Source organism: Homo sapiens, chromosome 2, assembly GCF_000001405.40.
Source record: "Homo sapiens chromosome 2, GRCh38.p14 Primary Assembly".
Classification (NCBI taxonomy): Eukaryota; Metazoa; Chordata; class Mammalia; order Primates; family Hominidae; genus Homo; species Homo sapiens.
Genome location: NC_000002.12, coordinates 134,214,886 through 134,240,042, shown reverse-complemented (window position 1 = coordinate 134,240,042; position 25,157 = coordinate 134,214,886). Strand labels below are relative to the sequence as shown.

Below are 25,157 nucleotides of genomic sequence, written 5' to 3'. Positions count from 1 at the left end.
AGAATATTCATCTAGGTATCTGAACAACCAGTTGGATTTTACTAGATCGACACACTACAACATAACTGACAGTGCTTCCCTCTTCAAGAAGGCTGGCAAGAAAAGCTCACCATCCACTTCCAGGAAGTAAAGTGGACTCACTAATTTTTTGTATAAATCCCACTCCTGACTCATTTTCTTATTCTCTTCTCCTTGTCTTTTTTCTTACTTAATGGTAAATGTATTTTTATCTTCTTGTATTACGTTTTACTCCTTTTTGGAACATATCATAATTATAAACAAAAAGAGCAAGATAGCTATGGTAGGCAGAATACCGGCCCCCCTAGATCCATCCACATCCTCATCCCCAGGACATACATGGCAAAGGGAAATCAAGGTATTAGATGGAATTAAGGTTAATCAGCTGACCTTAAAAGGGGAAAAAGAGTCTAGACTACCCAGGCGGGCTCAATGTCATCACAGGGTCATTAGAAGTGGAAGAGGGAGTCAGAGGGTAGGTAAGAAGGATGTCAACAGTCTTTCCTCAAGACAGCTCAGACTATTAAGTGATTTGCATAAATCAAGGTTATTGATTTAACAAGTCTGGTTATTTGGTTTCTCTGGTAACCTTTGGTTCTATTCTAGTAGTAATCAGATTAGGAATTTAAGAAGAATGAGGGAGCTCCCCAACAAAGGTGACAGCCCCAAAAAGTAATTGATAATACTGAGGGGGAAACCCCAAGATATATAGAGCAGAAAAGAACAGGGCTGGGCGTGGTGGCTCACGCCTGTAATCCCAGCACTTTGGGAGGCTGAGGTGGGTGGATCATGAGGTCAGGAGATCGAGACCATCCTGGCTAACACGGTGAACCCCTGCCTCTACGAAAAATACAAAAAATTAGCCAGGTGTGGTGGCATGTGCCTGTAGTCCCAGCTACTCGGGAGGCTGAGGCAGGAGAATTGCTTGAAGCTGAGAGTCAGACGTTGCAGTGAGGTGAGATGGCGCCACTGCACTCCAGCCTGGGTGACAGAGCAAGACTCTGTCTCAAAACAAAAATAAATAAATAAATAAAACACGTTTAGGGCAATATTTCTTTTTTTGTTGTTGTTTGTTTTTGAGACAGAGTTTCACTCTTGTCGCCCAGGCTGGAATACAGTAGTGGCATGATCTCGGCTCACCGCAACCTCCACCTCCTGGGTTCCAGCGATTCTCCCACCTCAGCCTCCCCAGTAGCTGGGATTACAGGCATGCACCACCATGCCTGGCTAATTTTGTATTTTTAGTACAGACAGGGTTTCACCATGTTGGCCAGGCTGGTCTTGAACTCCTGACCTCAGCTGATCTGCCCATCTCAGCCTCCCAAAGTGCTGGGATTATAGGAGTGAGCCACCACGCTTGGCCTAGGGCCATATTTCATCAGGGCAACAGCCTTATATATCTCAGAACTGCGTGGAAGCATCGCACAATGACACCACATCTTTCCTAAACAGGATGTAATACAGATTTGTGGGATGATCCCAGAAAAGTCTTATAGCTGAACTCCTGACAAGGATACATAAACAAGACATGATGAGATGGGGAAAGCACAGATAAGGTCAAAGGCCACATGTGTCATTTGCTATCACATTGCTTCTCCTCTGAACCTCTCCTTTATGTTTCCACCTAACTTTATGCTCTATGAAGGTAAGATGATCTTAATTACCACTATAAGAAAATCTAACAATTATGGACCGTGATCCTTAACAGACTTTCTCTCTTCCAATGCTTACTCTAAGCCTGTGAAGTATGTACTAACCATCTCCATTCAGAGTAGGGAAAATTGAGGCACAAAGAACTAAGCAATCTGTTCAATGTCACACAGCTACCAGGTAGTACAGCTGTTGTAGACTGGGCATCAGGCTCTTTAATCAGTGTTCTCTAGTGCCTCAGTACCTCTCAGAGAGCTTCACGCTTAGAAGGTCTCCAAACTTATGAAATGAATAAATGGAACAAGTCTAGAAAAAGAAAAAAAGGAGGCCGGGCGCAGTGGCTCACGCCTGTAATCCCAGCACTTTGGGAGGTCAAGGTGGGCGGATCACAAGGTCAGGAGTTGGAGATCAGCCTGGCCAACATGGTGAAACACCATCTCTACTAAAAATACAAAAATTAGCTGAGCGTGGTAGCACACGTCTGTAATCCCAGCTACTCAGGAGGCTGAGGCAGGAGAATTGCTTGAACCCAGGAGGCAGAGGCTGCGGTGAGCCAAGATCGCACCACTGCACTCCAACCTGAGTGACAGAGCAAGACTCCATCTCAAAAAAAAAAAAAACAAAAACAAAAACTGCACTCCAACCTGGGCGACAGAGCAAGACTCCATCTCAAAAAAAAAAAAAACAAAAACAAAAACTGCACTCCAACCTGGGCGACAGAGCAAGACTCCATCTCAAAAAAAAAAAAAAAAGAATTAAATCATTTATATAAGTTGAGTTCCTTTGAGTGATAGGCTTTCTGCCCCATTTCATCCAGGAAACTCTGCTAGTCAGCTATTTTCAAATGAGCCAGGTAGGTATTATGAATTCCCACCTGGGGAATGTTTCAAAAAGCAGTTTCTCCTTTATCCTCCTCCCCCAGTACTGCTTTTGTCATTGCAGGTTTGGTTTATATCTGGAAATTTAAAAAGAAAACTTCCCAGATTATTCTGCAAACATTTACTTATATCCTTCCCCCAGCCAGTGGAGCATCTCTGCTAGGAGGTGTCTTGCCTCCCATGACAGAGAGTAGAATCCAGAATGGCTGAGTGGGAAGTCTCACACGAGGGACTTAATTTCAGAGACATTAGGAGGCACAAGTAAAATTTAGGCAGTGAGCAAAACAATTCTTTTAGGGCTCAGCAGCCAAGTACAGACCAAGAGGGTAAAAATTCACACACACGCGCACACACACACACACACACACACACATATACTCCTTCTACATAACCTACCTATCCTACCTACCTCAAACTTGCAAAGGCTATCCTGAGGAAAAGGAGAGATTACTAGCACATTTGTTAGTTTAGAAAGATATCAAATCTTACTATTTTTCTCTTGCAATTATATTAAAGTGACATTAGAGTATCTTCCACAGGATGAAAACTATATAAAAGGGTGATAAGAGGCCAACTAGAGAGTTGCAACCTCATCAGACAAATATTCATGGAAGGGGCTTACTGGGTGCTCCCAATGATGCTAAAGTTTTGAGGAGAAAACACTGAGGGTACAAGACAGAGTCCCTGCACTTAGAAACATCCTCCAACCATGCACACACCCACCACCACTCCCACAGAGCAGCCAGAACATGCTGAAATCAGGGGCCCTATTGGCGTGTCCCTGTATTAGTCTGTTCTCACACTGCTAATAAAGACATACCCGAGACTGGGTAATTTATAAAGGAAAGAGGTTTGACTCACAGTTCAGCATGGCTGCCAAGGCCTCAGGGAAGGGGAAGCAAACATGTCCTTCTTCACATGGTGGCAGCAAGAAGTGCCAAGCAAAAGGGGGGGGAAGGTCCCTATAAAACCATTAGATCTTGTAAGAACTCACTATCATGAGAACAGCATAAGGGTAACCGTCTCTGTGATTAAATTACCTCCCACGACACATGTGGATTATGGGAACTACTAAGATGAGATTTGGGTGGGGACACAGCCAAACCATATCAGAGACTCTTTTGGGCTGCAGAGAAGCCTCAAGAGGTTTCATGGAGATCCTGTGGCCTAAACTGGGTCTCATCCCTTCATATCTCTCCAACTAATCTCAAGGTCCAGGCTAAACACCAGGAATAAAAGGTGAAGAAAAAGAAGTTCCTGGAACCACTGCCTGCAAGCTCCAAGCTTTCTCTGCAGTCATGGGACCCGTGAAGAACAACTCTGAACACTGCGCAGAGTTACAGGGCTAGGGGCAGAGCTTTGAACAAGCCACATCTCAAAACTTTGGTTTTGTATGCCCATAAAATTAAGCAGCAGAAATAGGTGGTGTCTGAGGCTCTTCCATTTTCAACTTAACTGAGAAAAACAGGTCTGTATTTTCCAGCTACTTGGATGTTTTCACTACTTCAGAATGATGACACTCACAGCCTAGAATGTGATCGTGGTAGGAAGGGGAGGGGGAGCAAGACAGAAACTGAGTTACAGTGAGAATTATAGATGAATGAAGTCATTATGCAAAACAGAAAACCAAAGCTAATTTGACTGTGCCCCCTCCCCTTTTATCCCTTGCCTCAAATACACTAAATCTATGTCACTTGCCTCTCATGACCACTAGATTTATAAGCCCATTAAAAATACTTCTATAATCACTCCATGCAAAAAAAAAAAACCCCTATTATTATTACAATGATTTAAATCCCTACAGCAGTACAGCAGGATCTGGGGTGGGGAGAGTTTATTAATACCTTAGCAAAACGTGCCATGAATACACCATTTGGATATTCATTTTTTTAAAGTGCCCTGATTTTTCCCAGGGTGTTCAGTTAACATTTAGCTCATGGTGTTACCGGCCCTGTCGATTGGGTTAGGTTATTTTCCTCAATTCCTCTGCTCTGTGGCTCTTCTCTCTCTCCATCAAAACCCACCCAAGGATCAAGCTGAGGTACTCGTTTCTCAACCCTCACTGGGTATCACGATCATGTTGGAAGACGTTTTAAATACAAATGGTAGCCCTCCCCAAGATCATAATTCAATTGGTCTACACAGGGCCAGGAAAGCAGTATAATTTAAAGCAATCCCAAGAGACTCTAAGGTGCAGTCAGAGTTGAGAACTATTGATCTAAGATAACCACCTTCCCAGGCAGATAAGTGGGTAGAAGGGTACTGAGGGAAGAGAAACAGGTATGAGGTCGGGGAGCATGGCAGGGGAGACAGGGGCTGTGTTGAACCAAAGACCAGGCACCCCTCTGATAGGGCAGCCACTTCTCAGCTCTAACCACCAGACAACTTGAGCTAAGACAGCCTGGGTTAGCTAGATCTTCCAATTTTCCAAAGAAGCCAGAAACCCAGAGTTTTGGTCAAATCTGTGTATTCTTAAATGCTGGTGCTAATTTAGATTAAAAAAAAAATTCTGGTGGTCCAAATAAAACGCATCTGCAACCTTCCTTACAACCACCACCCTAAGCACTTGAAGCTGGGGAGTCTTATAAAAAGACTGAGGCAAATATACAAGACCTTGAATTGAAGGCAGTTTACAATCTCACTCACCTGCTCAGTCCACCTCATGACAGGTGTCTGTTACTTTATCCTAATTGCTCAACTATTCTGGACTTTCTAAACAGCAGCTGGTATTGTTCTCAAATATTGACTTCTGCTAATCACTTTCAAAGGATTCTGAGCACTGGCTTCCAGCCCTCATTCACCACCCAACACAAGCTTGTGACTTAGTCACACCTTATTGCTAATCCCAAGAAACGAAGGGAATTTAAAAGCACCTGGTGAGAGAGAAGCAGGCCTCAGAATCCAGAAAGCCTAAGTGACTTGCCCAGGGCCACAAAGACTGTCAAGGTAGGGTGAACAAACTTGTCCCCGTTGGTCACCCTAGTTGAAGGACAGAGCCACATTGCTGTGTCTTATGTATGGACCCCCATAGTCTTATAATTCTTGATATATACATACATTTGACTTTTAGCTTTATGATCTGCTCCCTGTTGAGACTCAAACTTCTTGAAGGAAGAGATTCAAATCTTTCTGTGAACTAACTACTTAATATCTGTTGGGAAAAGTCCTTGTAGCCCCCTTGGTTAATAAAGATGGCTGCTGGTGGTGCCCTTGCAAACTATAGGCATCACTGCTCTAGGAGTCTCTTGGAAGAACCTGTAAGTCTTGACTCCCACCAACCCCTGCCCCCAATCCCCGGCTTCCTTCTCAGCCCCCAACTACTTCATCACATCAATAACAAAGTATGAGAAACACAGAAAAATGAAACACATGAGCAACTTTCAACTGACTGTTTCCTTCTCTCTTTAGACCACAAAGTCTCCCTGCTCTAATGAGATTATTACCCATCATGAAAGGACATAGCATCTAGCGTTCTGATTTCTCCACTCAGAGATACACCTCAGAAGGCAGCTTCTCAGCTGTGAAAGAAGTTGGCCTTTGCAATCCTCTCTTAGAAGTCTGCTTCGGAATTATTCAAGAGAGCCAGAGTCAAACCTAGAGTGTTGTGCATGAATAGAGAGGCAATCTGGTGTGGCAGAGAGGCTTGGGAATTAGATTCAGATTAAAATCTCTGCACTGACATAAGCCAGCCCTGTGCCCTCTTGAAGTTACAGAAATGAAGATCCAGTTTCCTTATCTGTAAAATGTCTACCTGCAGGGTTTAAATTTGCAAAGGGCCTAGTCTAGTGACCGATCCTTGATGAGAGTTACTGGAGAAGTCTCATGACTCCTACAATGAGCCCCAGAGGCCTCTGTGAGTAAGGTGGAAGGACCTAGCCTTCTGCCTGATCTAAATACATTAAGATCTGCCTTTGCTGACCTAGTTTTATTCTAAAGCAGTTGTGGTTTTCTTTCTTCCCTTCAGTTCCTTTTCTCAAAGGATGTAAGCATATCTGTGTGAAACACATAAAAAAAATGCACCAAGTGTCAGCAAAATGTTACTGTAACTGATAAAAAGGCATTTTCTATCTTGTCCATCAGTTTTGATGAGGAAGCAAAGCAGACTAGCCCAATTCCTAGCATTGGTAAAGATTGCTACTTCAAAGAATTTTCTGGGTCAGCACCTAAAAGTCTGAAATCCATTCCACTGAATTCATTATGACCCATAGTAATACCCCATCTCTCAAAGCAAAACTACACTGTGATTCATTGCATAGAGCCATTCCCTGGTAGACACTATATTTTAGACTTATGAATAAAACAAGTACAGAAAACAAAATAAAACACAGAACCAGCCCTGTACCCTTATATTTTACAATCTACAAAAAACAAAGTCAGATTTACACATACCTGGAAAACAACTCACGATGACATCATTTTAAGCTAACTGAATCTTGGATTCAAGAAGAATCAATGTCTATACTATTCTTCTAGCATAAAACCTGTTGTGGCAGTTTTAACTTTTTAACTTAAGAAAGTTATGACCTTAGGTCACTAGACAGAATTACATTACTCAAATGTATTCTTGGCAAACTCTTTGGGGATATAATTCACTCTGCAAGGAAAAACTGGTAATTGCCACCAATATCTCACACACATGTACATACAAGAAGACACACCATAACACACCATAACAACCACCACCCACAGAATCAAGAAGACCCATGCCATTCTTAAATGAAAATGTGCACCAGTTAAGAAATAATCTAACATCTCAGGTTAGCAGGAAGTGCCACACTCCAACCTAACAAGAAAAATGGGCATTAAAAAAACATTACATAGGTCTGTGGTCTATTAACAGTAACCTGTTAGTATCAACTTCCTGGTTTGGTATTGTAACAGAGCATGAAATCTGGGGAAGGATGGGTCCGTGGGTCTCTTTGTACTGTTTTTACAACTTCCTGTGAAATTATTTCAAAATAAATTGTTTTCTAAGCATTACTTATTGGGTATCATCCTGTTTGGGGAGATTTTTCAAGATGTAGAAGCCCTTTCCCAAGGCCCCTCTTCAGCTAATGGGTCCAGAATAGGATATACACCTAAATACTTTGAAAAGGGTTCTGGTTCCTAGATGATCTGAAACTCCTCCCCTGTTGAGTAAGAACCACCACCAAATGGCAGGTAAATCACTGAAGACATTTAACAGTGCTGAGGCCACCATATTTGATATTGGCTGCTGTGTAGAGGATGGGTTTGAAGGGTGGCTCATGAAAATCCGGGTGAGAAATGAGTCCAATAAAGGCCTGAACAGGGTAGTGGCAGTCCAGTCATAATAAGAAACCAAATGCTAGAAATACTTAAGAGGTCAAATCAGCAGGACAGTGGGCAATGACTAACTGGAAGGAATGAGGGAAGACGAGGAGGAGGAGGAGGAGTATAGAATGACCACTAGGCTTCCAGCTTGGGCAGCTGAGGAAAAGGTGACATGTCATTCACCAAGACAGGAAAATGGAGGAGCTGGTTTGTGAGGGAGGATGGCTGCCTGAAGCTTCCACAGAGCAATAGTACTATATCATATATTGCAGACAGAACGATCTTTGTCTAGAGAGGTAATTCCTTCTTCCTCAACTCACTGGGTGTAAAGTACCAGGGGACAGACAACTCGGCACAGCAGGCAAGAAGGACCAGCCACTACTCAGCCATGTCAGCCACTTGGCCCCGCCCTGGTCTGATCATTTTCACAGCCAGCCACAAACCCAGTGATCTTTCCCCAAATACCTCCAGTGGGTAGAGAGCTACTCAACCAAGCTGCTCCCCACAGGTTCTAGAGGGTCTGGGTTTCTAACATTTCTATTAAAAGAACTCCAGAGGGTGAATGAGGGAAATCATCCATCAATAAATCAAGCAACTAATTATTTCACTTTGCCATAATCTCTTTAAGAAATGGTGTTCCAAAGTGAAAGGAAGAATTCCACATGAGAAGACATCAAGACAGCCTATGAAGATCTTGACATAGGAATTTGTACATTGCTACACAGGAAGCATTTACCACCCACCACAGAGGAATGCAGTTTATTTGATAATTATTTGTCTAGGTTATAAACCCTTTTTGTAACAGTTTACTGAAATATAATTCACATACCATACAATTAACCAACTTAAAATATACAATATAATGGTTTTTACTGGGCTCAGAGTTGTACAAGCATTACAACAATCAGCTTTATAACTTTTCTCCCATATAAGTGCCAACCAGGCTCAACTCTGCTTAGCTTCCAATATCAGAACAGATTGGACACATTCAAGGTAGTGTGGCTGTAGAGAATTTCATATAACATTTTATCATACCCAAAAGAAACCCACACCCTTTAGCTACCACCTCCTAACCCCTCCTCCTCCCCACTCCAGCTCTAAGCAAGCACTCATTCTACTTTGGTGTCTCTATAGATATGCCTATTCTGGACACTTGATATAAATAGAATCATAATATGCAGTGTTCTTTGACAGCTTTCTTTCACAAGGTCCAATGTTGTAGCACATATCAGTGCTTCATTTTGTTTACAGCCAAACAATATTCCATTGAATAGATGCATCACATTTTGTTGATCTATTCATCAATTGATACTATTATGAATAAAACTGCTATGAGCGTTTGTGTATGACTTGATGGGTGTGTGTGTGTGTGTGTGTGTTTTCATTCCCCTTGAGTATATACCTACGAGTAGAATTACTGGGTCATATGATAACTCTGTATTTAACATTTTGAGGAACTGCTAAAATGTTTTCCACAGTAGCTACACCATTTTACATTCCTACCACCAGTGTATGAAGGTTCCAATTTCACCATATTCTTGCCAACACTTATTTGTCTCTTTAACAATTTTTTAAATTGACAAATAATTGTACATAGTCAAGGGGTACATAGTGATGTTTTAATACATAGAATGTATAAAGAGCAGATTAGGGTAATTGCATAGCCATCATCTCAAACATTTACAATTTGTGTTGGCAAGGTTCAATATCCTATTTGAAACTATATATCATGGCTAACTATAGTCATCCTACAGTGGTATGAAACACTAGAACTTATTTCACCTATCTAGCTGTAATTTGGTATCCTTTAACACAGGGGTCCCCAACCCCCAGGCAGTGGACCAGTACCAGTCCTTGGCCTGTTAGGAACTGGGCCACACAGCAGGAGGCAAGCAGCCAGCAAGTGAGCATTACCACCTGAGCTCCACCTCCTGTCATATCAGCGGTTGCATTAGATTCTCATAGGAGCACAAACCCTGTTGTGAACTGTGCATGTGAGGGATCCAGGTGGCACACTCCTTATGAGAATCTAATGCCTGATGATCTGAGGTGGAACAGTTTCATCCCAAAACAACCCCTTCATCCGTGGAAAAATTATCCGCCATGAAACCAGTCCCTGGTGCCAAAAAGTTTGGGGGCTGCTGTTTTAGTAAATCTCTCCCTATCCTTCACTTCCCCCATCTTTCCCATCTGTCTTTTTGATGACAGCCATCCTAACAGATGTAAAGTGCTATTTCATTGTGGTTTTGATTTCCATTTTCCTGCTGACTAAAGAGAGTGAGCATCTTATCTTTTCATGTACTTACTGATTATTTGTTTTTCTTTTGGGGGAAATATCTGTTCAGATCCTTTGCTCATTTATTAATTGGCTCATCTGTCTTTGTCACTGAGTTGTAGGAGTTATTTACATATTCTAAATACGGGTCTCTTACCAGATATTATTTGCAAATATTTTCTCCCATTCTGTGGGTATGTTATGAATGTTCTGTTTTCGATACATAATAGTGATACTTTTTCTTTTTAGTTCATAAGATGATTTCATCCATGTCTGTCCAGTTATAAAGCATTAAAATGCATTTAAATCATCTTTCTAACAAATCATATCTCCATTTTCTGTGGCATTTTTAACATATATGGGCATATCCTGTAAGCTCCTTATCAGTTATAGAATATTTTAAAACATAAAACTATGACTTTTACAAATATAAAATAAACACGGCAAAGATCTTATTTAGCTGATTAATTAATACAGGAACCAGAAAGATGTTAAAACAGGTCCAAAGAAAACGAAACACACATGTGTGTAGGCAATCAGGAATGCCGATCTGTTAATATATAAAATGCTTTTTGGGAGGGATCAATAATACCTCTACTGGGCAAAATTCATGTGCCATTCTATGAACAAGAACCATTTCCATTACTATCACTTTCCTATAACTTGCCAAAATGTAAATCAGTCCAAAGAAAATGAAAGACACAGATAACCTAGAAGGTTGCATTAGATTTTAATCTGTTTTGCCCATTTCTGAGTCTTCCACAATTTTTCCTGATATTTTTTTTGTAAGGTTTGTTCTATCAGTTAGGGTTCAATGAGCAGATGGAAAACATACTAATTTGAACAGGAAAAGCTTAACATAAACAATTATTAACTACAACCTGGGATTCTGCTAACAAGATGTTGACTAGTAAGAAGTAATGCAAGGAACTCTAGATCATACAGAAAGGCCAGATATAAGGAGTAACCACTATCCCTCAGACTGAGAAAACACCCATGAAGAAGATGAAACATCCATGAAAATAACCAGGTGGGGGACTGAGACCCTGACTTTGTTGGAGAAGACACAACTACAACTCACTAGATGGCAGAAAAGTCACTGTGGTGCCCTCTATGGTGCAGGAAAGCTGATCACAGGGAGGTAGCACACTGGCAACACTCCGCTACAAGACACCCCAAGGGGGTGCCAGAGGAAGCTGCTGGCCACCACACATCATAAAAGAAGGTCACCAGAGAGGACACACTCTGGAAGAGCCTTCCCAGAAACCACTGGAAAGCAGGAAGCAAAACTCTCTGCCTTCTGCAATGTTTCTCCAGCGCCCTCTACTGGAAAAGCTTAACATTGTACCAGCTGCAAAGGAAAAATATTCAAGAGGCCCAGATCCATTTTCACAGAGCAAGAAAAAGGGGTGAAGTTGAGAGGCCATAAATCAATAAATGGCATTTGTACTAGAGTCAAAAACATCTGGAAAATGTCAGATATTTATCCGGGAGAAAAACACTTGTTTATTCTCTGGCTAGAGGACCTTTTAGGCAACTAGGGCACCAAAAGTAAATATAAGGATTTTTATCAGGGCTTTTCTTACCCTATAATTTGCCAAGGGCAGACTCTAAGCATTTAAGCATCTACAATGCTAAGAACAACTCTCAACTTTCCTGTGAAATCTGTCACTTTCCCCTTCCAAGAAACACCTTACTTTCCACTGCACCCATTCTTTTCTACCTTCCTAAACACACACAGTCACACACTCATCACCAACACACATTGTTCCTGTGACTGGTCTCACACAAATGCTGTGACCTTCTGAAACTATGCCTTAAAATGACGACAAGAGGATCCCCACCTTTCCTCTTTTATCAAAAAGATTGCTCCTTCTGTAAAAATTTGTCCCATTTTGTGGTAAAATTCTCATATGGAAATCATCTCCTTGAGTCTTGATATTTTCTCACTGTCTCGAGTATTTAAACAAGGGTGCATTCTGTCTACCTAATGTCTGGCAGGTGAGTGAAAAGCCTGCCAACCAGCCCTGTCTAGGTAAAATAATGTGGCTCATTCCACCTGTTCTGCCCCAGAGCTATTGCCAAAACCATCTCATTACCACCACCAGCTGCCACTCCAAAGCTCATGAACGGTCTGAAGAATACAATGGTCCCTACCTGCCACGAACCAGAACTCTTTTGAGTCCATACAAGATGCTAAGAAAATCACAGCTGAAGAGGATCCTAGAGTAAACCAAGAGCCTTCCCTTCTTGAGAAAGTTTTCCCTCCCAAGGTCACACCCAGGAATGGGCAATGCAATTCAAAGGTAAGTAGATATGTGTTAGTGTTTACCTTTTCCAGAATACAGCCTATACCCATACTAACAAAGAGGTTTGAGAGGTATTATTTTTTATTTGTTTTAGGCAATAATTTGTAGCTCAGTATTTGAGTGCTCATACATGCTAAACTCTGCAGTGAATGAGTAAAAAGTCAAGTCCTACCTGCCAGGAATAGCTAGTCTCTGAAGCTTACCACTGCAGATTCTCATCTTTGGCCTCAAGAGGAAGGAGCAACCAAAACAGAGTAGTAAGAAGACAATACCCAGAGCTCAATCCAGTATGGGCCTTTTAAACTATTTGTTTCCCCAAAGACAAGGAGCCACCCCAGGGTCAAGTTTCTCACTGTTGCAGTCCATAATTCACAAGGAGAGAAGAGGCAAAGCCCTGAAATACAGAGCCCAAGGATGTCTCTTTTCAGTGGGAAAGAGTATGGGATGGCAGATGGGAGCCATTCTTTGTGTTATCATTGATGGGCCAGAGAGAACACAACACCAGTTACACTCATTGATAAGGATATACCCTTGGTATTTGATGCTAAACTAGAAGTCAGAGGTTAGGAAGTTTATTAGTTACCAACATTTGAAAAATGGAGATTTCACATAAAAATCTGAGTTTCTGGCCTTTCCAAAAAAAAAAAAAAAATAGGACTATCTGGTACCACAGAACCATTTTCCTGTGAGAAGACTTCGGCAGGAATGAAGAATTGGGGCATGGCTTTCCAATTTGCCACAGAACCCATGCAGGCTGCTTTACATGCCTGTGTGACCTGCCCAGCCCCTGCTGGTGTTTTAGTCATGTACTAAAGAACCATAAACCCCATAAGAGCAGGGCATGTCCGTTTTTATCTGTAAGCATATTTCAACACACTGCCTAGCATACAGTTCCCAGGAACTGTGCCTGCTAGGCGCTAGGGGCTCAAATCAAGTAAATGACTGCATGAACTCTACCAGACTTTCTGTCTACACTAGCTCGTTTCATTCTTAACATCATCTTGAAATATTTGCTTCCCATTTTACATGTGTGGTTCAGAGAATGAACTTCCAAAACCCACCTAGCTAGTAAATAACTATACAATTTCATCCCAAGTTTATGACACCAAAGCAAAGGAGTATGTAAAAGCAAGTAGAAACATAGAAAAAGAATACAGTAAAAGCAAGCAGAGAGAAATATAGAAAAAGAACTTCTAGTTTTTAAGAAAAGGCAATAGGCTGATTGCAAACACTCTGGTTTCCCACATAGTCTTTGTTCCATACTTATGGACAAAAAGGAGATATGTTATATGGTTATTGCATCTCTCTTCTGCAAAATTCTTAAGACATCTTGCATTATGAGAGCCAAAATCCACCTGCTAAATCTTCAATTAGGGTTAATTCTACTACAAGGATTAGTGACCATGCATCAACTAGGCAATTTGGAAGGAAAAGCTTTAAAGATGTAAAGATAACATGACTTCCATTTGAGTTCAAAGACAAAAAGAGAGGGTAGTCATTCCATTTAATGGAAAGCAGGAATCCTTAGCCAAGGGGCAGAGCAGAACAACCACTCAACAGTAAACACTCTTCTCCTAAGGCTACACACCAGCAGGTGGTAACTAAACAAATGACTGTTTAGGCTACTTAACACACAAAAGGTGCTATCATTCGGTTTGAAGAGGAATCAGGACAGCTCCCAGAAGAGGTCAAAAGTCTCGTAAAGCTCTAAAACTGTCTTTATCATATAAAGTTGTCCATCTATCCTAGTACACTGTTAGTGACACCCCAGCAGTGGGATAAAGAACTACAGGCTATTCTCTCTGGTCCCTTATGCTATCACGAGATGTAGTTTATTGAGATAAAGTTTTCCCTTTACATATTTATCTCCCTGGACCAGACTTATCAAATGTAGAAGCAGTGTCTTACTGCTTCTATCTCCAGCATGTCCTATAATGACTGTATACAACAGGCACTGTTATCTTCCCATCCTGAGACCTCATGGAAGATAATAAAGAATTCTTTTCCTGATCTATACACTTGAACGTGAATACCCACAGAAAGGTAAAAAACCAAATCACATACTGACATATGGATATATAACTAGATCACTTTGTATTAGAATTTATCAAAAAAATGATAGAAAATCAGAACTTAAACTAAAACACGGCAAGACCATGCCCACAACACAATCCCTCTAAGATGTGGCCACCACTGCTGCCCATGAAACAGGCTGAGCCTATAACTGCTCCTTGAACATCACTCTTGTGTGACTCGTGTGAGGATCTGGTCATCCAGATTCTGAATCAGCAGGCCTAAGGAGACTGCATTTCTAACAAGCTCCCAGGTGTTGCTGAAACTGCCAGTTTTTGGCCCACCCTTGAGAACAAAGGATCTAGGAGCACCAGTGGGAACCCATAACCACCTTTGTTCCTTGCAGTGGACACCACATTCCTTGAGTTAGCAGAGCTCTTGTCACAGAGGACAGAGCCTGATGCGGTGCCTTGAGATTGGAAATTCCCCCCCGATTTCCACCGCATTTTTTTTTTTTTTTTTTTTTTTTTGTGAGACAGGGTCTCACTCTGTCACCCAGGCTGGCTTGCAGTAAGATCATAGCTCACTGAAGCCTCCGCCTCCCAGGCTCAAGCAATCCTCCACCTCAGCCTCCCAAGTAGCTGGGACTACAGGTGCACAACACCACACCTGGCTAATTTTTTGTATTTTTTGTAGAGATGGGGTTTCCCCATGTTTCCCTGGCTGGTCTTGAACTCCTGGGCTTAAGTGATCCTCCCACCTTGGCCTCCCAAAGTGCTGGGATAACAGGTATGAGCCTCCATGCCTGGCCTAGATTGGAAATTCCTAAGGCACCCAGTGATCTTTGTCTTTTATTCCATTAAGCGTCTAACGGTCTATTAGCAATCAACCCTAAGAGGTAAGAATTGGTACAGGCAGAAAACTCTCTACCATAGCTTTTTTTGGATGTCATAGTTTTGGAGACCTAGACTGGTGTAACTCCAAGTGCCTAGGCTTTATTCTTAAAAGAAACAGGTGTGTGTTCCTATCCTTTTCTTTCAGATCACTCATTATCATTTCAAATCTCTCAAGGGCTTTCTAAATAACCCAGGCCGGAGATCCTAATATTTGGGGGCCACAGTGTTTAAGTAAAAGCTATAAACACTCTTCTCCCTCAAAATTCACGGATACTAAAGGTTTAACATTTTAGGTGTTTCATTGACTATATCCCAATCTCATTTATAAAAGGAAGCTCCCTCCCTGTCTTCCAGAAGACATACTTTAAAGACACAGGTTATCACTCATTCATAGCACTTTACACAAATCCTTTCTGACTAATACTTATGGAAGATACCAAGTACCGCTCTGGAAACTTCCCACAGATCATGAAACGCCTGCTAATAGGACCCATATTGTATCTATCACTAAGCAAGATGACAGATGAATAAAACCCCAAATGTCAAGACAAACCCACAACCTTGGGAACAATAAATAAATGCCATGACGAGCATTGCTCAAACCCATGTTCAGTTTGTAAATGGCATTTCCAAGTTAAACAAACATCTTGTTTTAAAAGCTGCTGCTCTGGTTAAAGAAGAGTCAAGAAAATCTTTTTCTTTTAAGTTATTTGGGTAAAGTATGTTTTTGTAAGCAAATTTACCTGAGTTCTCCAAAATTCAGATTGTAATTTTATGACAATATAGTTGTCTGTATAAGTTCAATAACAGTTTTTTAAACAATTGGAGACACTGGTTATTTTACCAAGACTGAAACTAAAATAGCCTATTTTTAGGTAAAGCTTCAGCAAAACCAACTTTAAAAGGAGTCTATATGGCCAGTCAAAAAATTTCTTGCTGCATTTTATATAAGTATTCATCAGGCAAGCATAATAAGGCTAAAACTAACCTTGCACATAAATTGGCCTTGCTATAATATTCTCTTTAATAAAAAAAGGTAGCTTAAAAACTGTTTCGAGGGTAAAACGTAACACTTAATACTAGATTTCAGCCCTAATTTTTTGAGTGCAGATTAAAGCATTATTTCTTGGCTACAATAATCCTCTAGAAAGTAGCAGATTATAATTTTTCTTCACATTTTTAGTTGGTGCCCTAATGGAAGAGGTTCCTTTTTCGGTTCTAACATACAAATTACTCTTATAACTGTCAAAATATAAATGTTTTACTTCCAAGAAAACAAAAATCATGGTATTCTGAAGACTAGAGATAAGGATCTCCCTCATTTGGCATCCCACTGGCCCCGGATCTGTTTCACTGCTAATGCTCTGTTGCTAAAACTATAGGAGCTACCCTGCTCTACGCCCAGGGACAAATGCAGAAAAGGTGGGTACGTAAGATTGTAAGGTCCGGTTTGAGGAATAAAATTAGGACAAGATCAAACCCTCCAAATCAAGAAGGGGGTACAAAAAATGCCTAAACAGCTGGTAAAACAAGTTCAGTTGCCTTCTAAACTATGATGTGTCACTTTTGCATCCACCCCAGCCATAAAAATTTTCTGCTTACTATAAAATTAAGGGAAAATATTTACTAACAGGATAAAATACTTTGTAACAAAGCCTCTTGGTTATAATACTCCCAATTATAAGTTGTGAAGATAAATATAGATATAGATATATAATATACATATTTTTAATTATTTTTCAGAACAATGCTTATGTTTTGTATAGCTAATTGCTGTAAGTCTAACAGAAACCAAGCTTACAGTAGCTTAACACAAAAAAGTTAAAAATAAGTCAGTCTTTTAACTTTGCCTTTTGGTTTTATTGTCAGTTTTTACTTAATAATTTTAAGAAGTAATGCATGCCTGTCCACATCCATTCCTATATGGCCTAGAACAATTAATTGGCTCTAAGTCTTTTGACTCTTAAAGCCCTCAGCCATAGGGAGTCCTGCGGAGGAAAAAATAACACTGCAGAATTATATGACTTCTCCTGTGACAAAAGCTTTTCTCTCCCAAATACTAGTATATGGTGCAATACAAAAGTGATGGGAAAAATAGATTTGTCTACTGTTAACAAGTCTATAACAATTTAAACACCAAGGACCAGGCACTTTTTGCATTTAATTTATACCCTCCTCAGGATACTATACCTATGGAGATAAATTGGCTGGAAAAGAAATTAAATTTATTAAATTCTAATTAAATGTTGGTCCCACAATTTTCAAGTAAGATATATCATAGAATTCAAATAACCCTTAATAAGGAGGGTAAACACATTGTAAGTCTAATCAAAGAATATAATGATGCACGCAGGGGTTTTTTTTTCTGGCTGATTGGGTTGTTTACTGCCCTCAGATTCTACCTATAGCCCTGGACGCCCACATCTTCACTATCTTTATGATATTTGTTACTATATTAACATTAGACATTCCTTGTAAATGTTATGCCAGATACAGCAGAAGGAAAGGCACAATTAAAGACCCAGATCATGATAGCTCAGAAAATAGATCTGATCCAGGATTGTTTTAGACTAAACCCTAGGCCTGACTCCATCTCACCTCTTAAAGAATTGGCTACTACCTCAGGTCAGAGCATGTCCTCTCCCCATTATCCAAATCGCTAATATTTAAAACTATTACCATCAAATCAGAGGAACAAGCCTTTCTAGCACCGTGGGACCTGGACAAATGACCAGATCAGACAACTCCAGGAATGAGCGTTCCTAGAGCCATGGGACCTGCTGCTGTTGGCCTTCTGTGGAATGATTTTTGGCTAAGAGTGGGGGACTGAGGACTAAGCTCTGATTTTTTATCTTGCCCAAATTCCTGTCTGAAAGGTCCTAATTTTATTCCTCAAACCGGACCTTACAATCTTACGTGCCCACCTTTTCTGCGTTTGTCCCTGGGCCTAGATTCTCACCAGATGGGTTTTATTTGATGCTGTATATAGTGACTTAACTTTCCACTCTGACTCTGGCATAACAAGCAAGAAAATAAAAAAGTTTTACCCCAAAATATATTTCCTTGCCATACCTTGAAATCGTCCTGCAAAGTCTCTTGTGGGAAAAATCCACATTCTATAGAGAATCCCCTTTCCGCTTTGTTTTCCTTCCTTCCTTCTTTCCCAGGAGATAATCAACTAAGAGCCAGGCATCCTTTTAGGTCAGATAAGCAACATTTTACAACCTGCTCTCTCTTTCTCTCTCTCTCTCTGAAGTCTGCTGAAAGATTCTTCGGCACAAGAAAACTTGGTCTCCACAATCCTTTACCTTAACCTGAATATTTCTTTCCATTAATCCCAGGTCTTTAGATAAACTCAACCAATTGTCAACCAGAAAATGTTTAAATTTACCTATAGCCTGGAAGTCCCCACTCTGAGTTGTCCTGCCTTTCTAAACCAAACCAATGCATTCCTTAAATGTATTTGATTGATGTCTCCTGCCTTCCTAAAATACATAAAACCAAGCTGTACCCCAACCACCTTCGGCACATGTTCTCAGGACCTCCCGAGGGCTGTGTCACGGGCCATGGTCACTCATACTTGGCTCGGAATAAATCTCTTCAAATATTTTACAGAGTTTGACTCTTTTTGTCAACACCCACATTTTCTTAAAAATCACATAAGAAAGAGTGGGGCTCTCAACTGTTATCCACAAAAAACTGCAGGACAAGGGGGTGGAGAAGCAGGAGAAGAAAACTAATTAAAAAGTAAATGGGGGAAAATTAGCTTGGAAAGGGCTTGCTGAACTGCTGACAGCGTGGAGTACTGAGGTGAAAAACAAATGCGAAAGAGATTTGGCAGAATCCAAAAAGAACACCATCAGAATGAGCAATGAGGCCACAGCTAACTGCCTGCTATAAGTCAGAGTGAGGAGTCAGTAACATACGTGAAGATAAAAAAGGAAGTTCCCTGGACAAGAGCGAGCACACAGACTAGAGCAAAGGAAAGAGGAGGGTGAGGAGGGGAGAAGGCTGATCCCTGCTACAGAAAGCAAAAAACAGCAGCAGCGTGCATACACATACACATACGCACTAAGGACAGAAAATCTAACCCAGTGTAATCTGAGGCCCTCTTAAGGAAAACAGAGAGGAGACCAAATGTAGATGGGGCACAATGGGCTGGCTAAGCCATCACAAATCAGCTCTTAATTACAGACTGAAGCCTTCCTGGTGTGTGGAGCAGATTTCCTGGCACTGGCGGGAGACATCCCCCCACCAACCCCAACAACTATTATTGGGCCATCCTGCTCCTTTCCATTAGTGCAGGAAACAAGGCAGAGACACCATCTTGTGTGCCTTTTATCTGAGCCATTTATGGCAGAGACAGGTCATTTCATTTGGTCGGGGTGGGGGATACATGGGAAAGAAAAACGGAGTGAATGTGCCCAAGGACACTACTCTGAAACTAGAGCTGCATTTGGAAATGCAGTCTCCTGAAATGAGAGGCTGGCGAAGAACTAGTTTTCCATCGAAGAGCATACAGCTATGCAACACTATTACACTGTAATTTCATGCAGAATATAAAGTCCTACTTACCATTCTGAGCCTCCTCAACTACTCTGCTGGTCCTCCTTCCAAGAACAGGGGTACGTATGTCATGCATTTGCTGCCTTCACAAGATAATGAACTTGCAACAGCCCAGGTACTGTGGCATTACTTAATAATGCTAATATTAGTATTTATGCTGTGCCAAGCTCCATTTAAATTCCTTTACTCCTATGAATTCAGTTGTTCCTCTCAATAACTCAACCAAGTAAGGGAGTAGTGCCATCTCCACTTCACAGAGGAAACAGGTCAAGAAAGTTCAAGAAAGTAACTCTCTCGCTCAAGGGACAGGAGGCAGGAACAAGATTTGAAACCAATACTCCTAACAACTTCACCAGAAGTTCCCAAATTCAAACACTCCCACTTTACTGTGTTTTTGTGATTCCGTAATTTTTTCAGGATCTCCTAAAAGAACTCATAAAAGCTCCATTTACTGAGTAGTTAGGTCCCAACAACTTAGTAGTGATGGTTAAGTGGTGCCTGACAGATGTCTCTCTGTGTTTCCTCAAAGTTTTAAAATATCCCATGCCAGCCTTGTGACTTTGCTGTGGCACTCCGGGGCACCTCAGGACAGTTTGGAATTCACACAACTATACTATCCCGGCTTCCTCATTCTGGTGAGGAAAAAGCATTAGGGTGCAATAATTGAACTGTCTGTTCGTTAAAGTAGATGAGTCACCGGCATGGGAGAGAGAAGAATCCTGTTAACTTCCTTCTTAGCCATCAAAAACATCTGAGCCCCTTAGCTCTCACAGCAGGTTTTCCCACCTGGCCCAGGTGGGCTTTTCCAGCCTTGTCTCCTGCCACTCCCACCCCTACAGTAAACTGTGCACTGCAGAAGCAGCTACACAAGCCTTGTTGCCCACCTTGGGCCCCTCTGCACCTGCCACATGTGCTCTCTTCTTGCTTTCTCGCTCAGCCATTTCCTGCTCCTGGGTGACTGAGCTCCTCCTTGATGAAGCCGCTGCACCCCGACAGGTGGCTCGCTGCTACTTCCTCTGGGTTCCCAGCCCACTCCACCGCACTCACACCTCCCTGGGCTTCCTCAAATTCTCTAATTACTGGCCACTGACATGTCCATCTCCCCTGGCCCTTTGCTTATCAACTTCTGCAAAGTAGGACTGGGATCTTACTCATCTCTGTGGCTTTCCCAGAGACTATGGACAGTAAATGATACACAGCCTTTAAGAAGTTTTAATTAGTAAAGAATGGAACAACAGAATGAAGCATTGCTTAAGGAACCACGTGAAGTATAACAGAATCAATGAATAAAAGAAAGGATGTGGCAGGCTAATCGAATGAATAGTCCCAATTAAGAGTCTCCCTGTATCCCATTCCCCTTGCAATAAGACTCAACAGCAACTCCCATCAACAAGTCTATATCCTTACCCTTTGAATCTGGGCTAGTCTTGCACCTTGCTTTGGCTGATAAAATGCAGAAGTCACAGTACACCAGGTCCCAACCTGGGCCTCCAAAGGTACTGCATGCTTCTACTTCCTTCTTAGAACCAAGCAGATGGCCTGGGCTAGCCTGCCACAGGACGGCAGACCATGTGGAAGGGAGCCCCGTGGAACCCATCCTAGACCAGATCCAGCCAGCCTACCCCTCAAATACATAAGAAAGCCCAGCTGAGACCAGCAGCCTGACCCCTCACCCTGCCCCCTGCATCAGTAGTGAACCCAGCTAAGACTAAAAGAACGACCCAACTCACCCACAGACTAGTGAACACCAATGAAGGCTTACTGTTTTAAGCCATTAAGTTTTGGGACAGGGTGTCATGTGGTAACAGTTAACTGATACGTTGAATTAATGAACAGCCTAATTTATGATAGTGAAGTTCCTAGGAGGCTGGGGTTATGAGTCTTTGTTCTGTGTCAGACTGAGAACCACAGTTCTTAAACATGGTGTTGCAACAAGTCGAGATACATCAAGATCTGCTGTGGGGGCATTTGCACAAAGTATTTCTGAATTTTGCAAGTGATTAAGTTAGTGTAGATTCATCATCACCCTCATCTATACCACTGTGACTCACTTAAGCTTTCTTGAAAAGGAAAGTGGAAGAGTAGGACCAAGAACCTGCTTCTCATTTCCACTGACACCTTCTGCCAGCCAGTAATAGTAACAGCAGTGTTTATTAATCACCTGTCTTATTCTCCCCCTATGTACATCATCTGTCACATGAACCAGCTCTCAAAGAATCTCAATTTTTGGTGAAGATGTCAAATCCTTTAAGGAAAGGGCAAGGCATAAGAACATCTTTAAACATCTAGTACTGTACTCACATCTAGCATACAAAAGACATGGTCTTCTGCCCTCAGGGACTCATCTGGTGGAACTAAACAGTCCTTTTCTCTCAGAAGAGGACCAAATAAGAGCCCAGTCTTATTTTTTCTAACTGTAAGTCAGAAATCCACAGCAGGAGGTGAGCCCCAGGGCTTGTCTTCTAAAATGAAAAAGCCCAGGTAACAAAACCAACCTTATTTACAGCCATCTATTTGGGAAATCACCCAAAGTCAATCATACTTCTTAAATGAAGGACTTTAATGAATGTTCCTACTGAGGTTAATTGCTGCACTGGCAGCCAATGCAGTGTCTTTCCATGATGTATTTCCTCTTGACGGTGGCTTTCAAGTTCAGTTCTCAGCTACCCACACCTGCTTTCTCAGGTAACTCTGGTCTAGCAGATTAAGCCCCGTGAGCCTCAGTTTCACATACATACAATGAAAACTCAAATAAGATTGAATGAGTTAATTTAACATGAAAGTCCAAAGGTTTGGCACAGCCCAGACCCTTGTAAGTGCTCAAAAAAGATGTATTTCCTTCCTTTCAGCTACAAAAACACATTTGGTATATTTTACACACACACACACACACACACACACACACACCACTCTCTCTCCCTCAGACCCCACTCATCCCTTCTGCTCAAGTCACATTTGCAATACCAGCAATAGCGTAAGTTATGAAAATCATACCCAAAAACCACATTTCATTTAACAAATTTTTACCCAACACCATGCTAGGTATGGTCAACATGGGGCCCCTAAGGATCCTGCCAGCCTCCTGGAACAACCTCCATCTACAATCCACAGAGATAGTTTATGAGAAACTGGCCACCACAGCCCTAGGAAACAGCATTCCGTTATCTTACTAAAGATAGTCTTCTGCCAAGCCCATCATGGCTTTATTTTCTGACAAAAGGGTCCCTATGCTAAGCCAGATTCCTGTCATGTGCAGACTAGAGCGCCAATCTATTCCTATGGCTCTTAACTCTCAAGCACAGCAATAGTCACATCTCCCCAGCCCGCTCAGGATCCCACTCTCACCTGCTTCATTCACTGGGCACCTGAGAAACCACAATAATCACCCCTAGAGGTAGAGCAGAAATGGCAAAAGTAGCAGCATAAAAATTGATACCAAATTCATCTTCATTAATCACCTTCCTATGTCAGGTGTGAACTGTCTCAGGAACACAGCTCGAGGATGAATCACATTTCGCCATCACACAGGGCAACCTGGGTTTCTTTAGTATGCTTCCTGTGCCAGCCCTATTTCCTAGTCAAGCTTTCATTTTCCTTCAAGATTTTCACAGTAAATTCTGTAGATCCTGAAATTGCCTCAACAAACAGAAAAACCTGGACTCCATGGTAAGGAAGAAACACAATGGCTGTGCTTTCAGTTGTCAAGTGGTTTTAAACTACTTCACCTTCATTCTTCTTCATTCTCTACCCTGGAAGTATATCGGATCACAACATGGGAATTTCCCACTCAAAACCTGAAAATCAAGTTCGGTCTCATAGGACGACAACATGAACAAGCTTCAGACTTAGCCATCTTTCACCCACTGACTGGCCCTGTATAGAACTATAAGTGTCCCGGTTTAATACTAATAAATTCTGCTAGCTCAAATTAAGCTCGCCTCATTTGGACTTGGTTCCTTATTTCTGCTGATCTCACTGCAACAAACCAAACATATGGTGAGAGCAGAATATAATTCAGTACAAGACACCGACTTTACCAGCTTCTTACAGAACCACTGAGAGATGATGGAATCTAATGGAACACATCAGCCTTTCTGAAAAGTTAATAATAATGCCTTTCTAAGGTCACCGTCTAAAGACAGTGGAGATTAGAGTCCATTAAAAGCACCAAGCAGATAACCAAGTCCTTCAGAATCAAAAATAAAGGATGGGATTAAAACCACAGACTAATTCCACTACATACTCACCAGAATGGCTAAGGTGAAAAAGACAAATACCAACCATGGAGAGGATGTGAGTGAAGGAAGCTCTCATGCACTGCTGGTACAATTATATATTGATACAACTGCTTAGGAAAACTGGCAGTATCTCATATTGCTAAACATGTGTACCCCCATGATCCCAAAATCCCACTTCTAAGTATATACTTGCTATGGTTTGGATATGGATTTACTGGCTGAAACTTACAAGGAAGTTTAGCTGACTTCAGTTGCAATGTGTTTGGGTCATGGAGCCGGATCCCTCATGAATAGGATTAATGCAGTATCAAGAGAGTGACTGAGTTCTCAATCTCTTGAGAATGGATAAGCTTCCTTGAGAGCAGGTTGTTAATAAAGCCAAATCCCTTCTCATGTTTGGTCCCTCTCCACACATGCCTGTTCCTCTTCCATTTTTCCACCACGTCTTGATGCAGCATGAGGCCCTCGCCAAAAGCTGAGCAGATGTAGCCACCCAGTCTTGAACTTCCCAGCCTCCAGAACTGTGAGCTAAAAAAACAAACAAACCTCTTTTCTTTATAAGCTATCCAGTCCCAGGTGTTGTATTATAGCAACACCTAACAGCCTAAGACAAGAGTCAACTGTAATGTGTACCTATGTTCACCATTCAATGGCAATGTGTATATCATATACTAGAATGTTTCCAGAAGCACTAATCCTAGTAGCTGAAAACTGGAAATTATCTAAATGCCCATCTACGGTAGAATGGGTGGATCAATAAATTTTGGTATATGCACACAATGGAATACTATACAGCAATGAGAATGATTACATGCAACAATATACATGAATTTCACAAACATAATACTGAGCAAAAGAAAGCAAACATAAAATAGTTTCCATTTTATGAGTTTATACAGAGTGCTAAAACAGTCAGGATTGAGGCGTGGGGATTGTAGAGGTAGAAGCTGGAAGAGAGGACATGAGGGGGCTTCTGAAGGCTGAGAATGCTCTGTGTATCTGGTGGTTAGGTGGGTGTCCAT

At 41.5% G+C, this 25,157-nt stretch overlaps 1 protein-coding gene and 1 pseudogene across 17 annotated transcripts in view, besides 2 other annotated features; both read right to left on the bottom strand.

Annotated features, from left to right (window-relative positions):
- The window catches only part of MGAT5 (alpha-1,6-mannosylglycoprotein 6-beta-N-acetylglucosaminyltransferase), a 334,687-nt gene that overhangs the window by 214,579 nt on the left and 94,951 nt on the right, over nucleotides 1-25,157 (bottom strand). The gene's annotated exons all lie outside the window — the stretch shown is intronic.
- Nucleotides 8,731-8,848, bottom strand: RNA5SP104 (RNA, 5S ribosomal pseudogene 104; annotated as a pseudogene).
- Nucleotides 21,024-21,093: an enhancer, noted in NCBI's record as "active region_16547". NCBI's record gives its function as "activates an Ori minimal core promoter by ATAC-STARR-seq in GM12878 lymphoblastoid cells {active_cell/tissue: GM12878}" and the evidence as "EXISTENCE:reporter gene assay evidence [ECO:0000049][PMID:35858748]".
- Nucleotides 21,998-22,067: a silencer, noted in NCBI's record as "silent region_11976". NCBI's record gives its function as "represses an Ori minimal core promoter by ATAC-STARR-seq in GM12878 lymphoblastoid cells {active_cell/tissue: GM12878}" and the evidence as "EXISTENCE:reporter gene assay evidence [ECO:0000049][PMID:35858748]".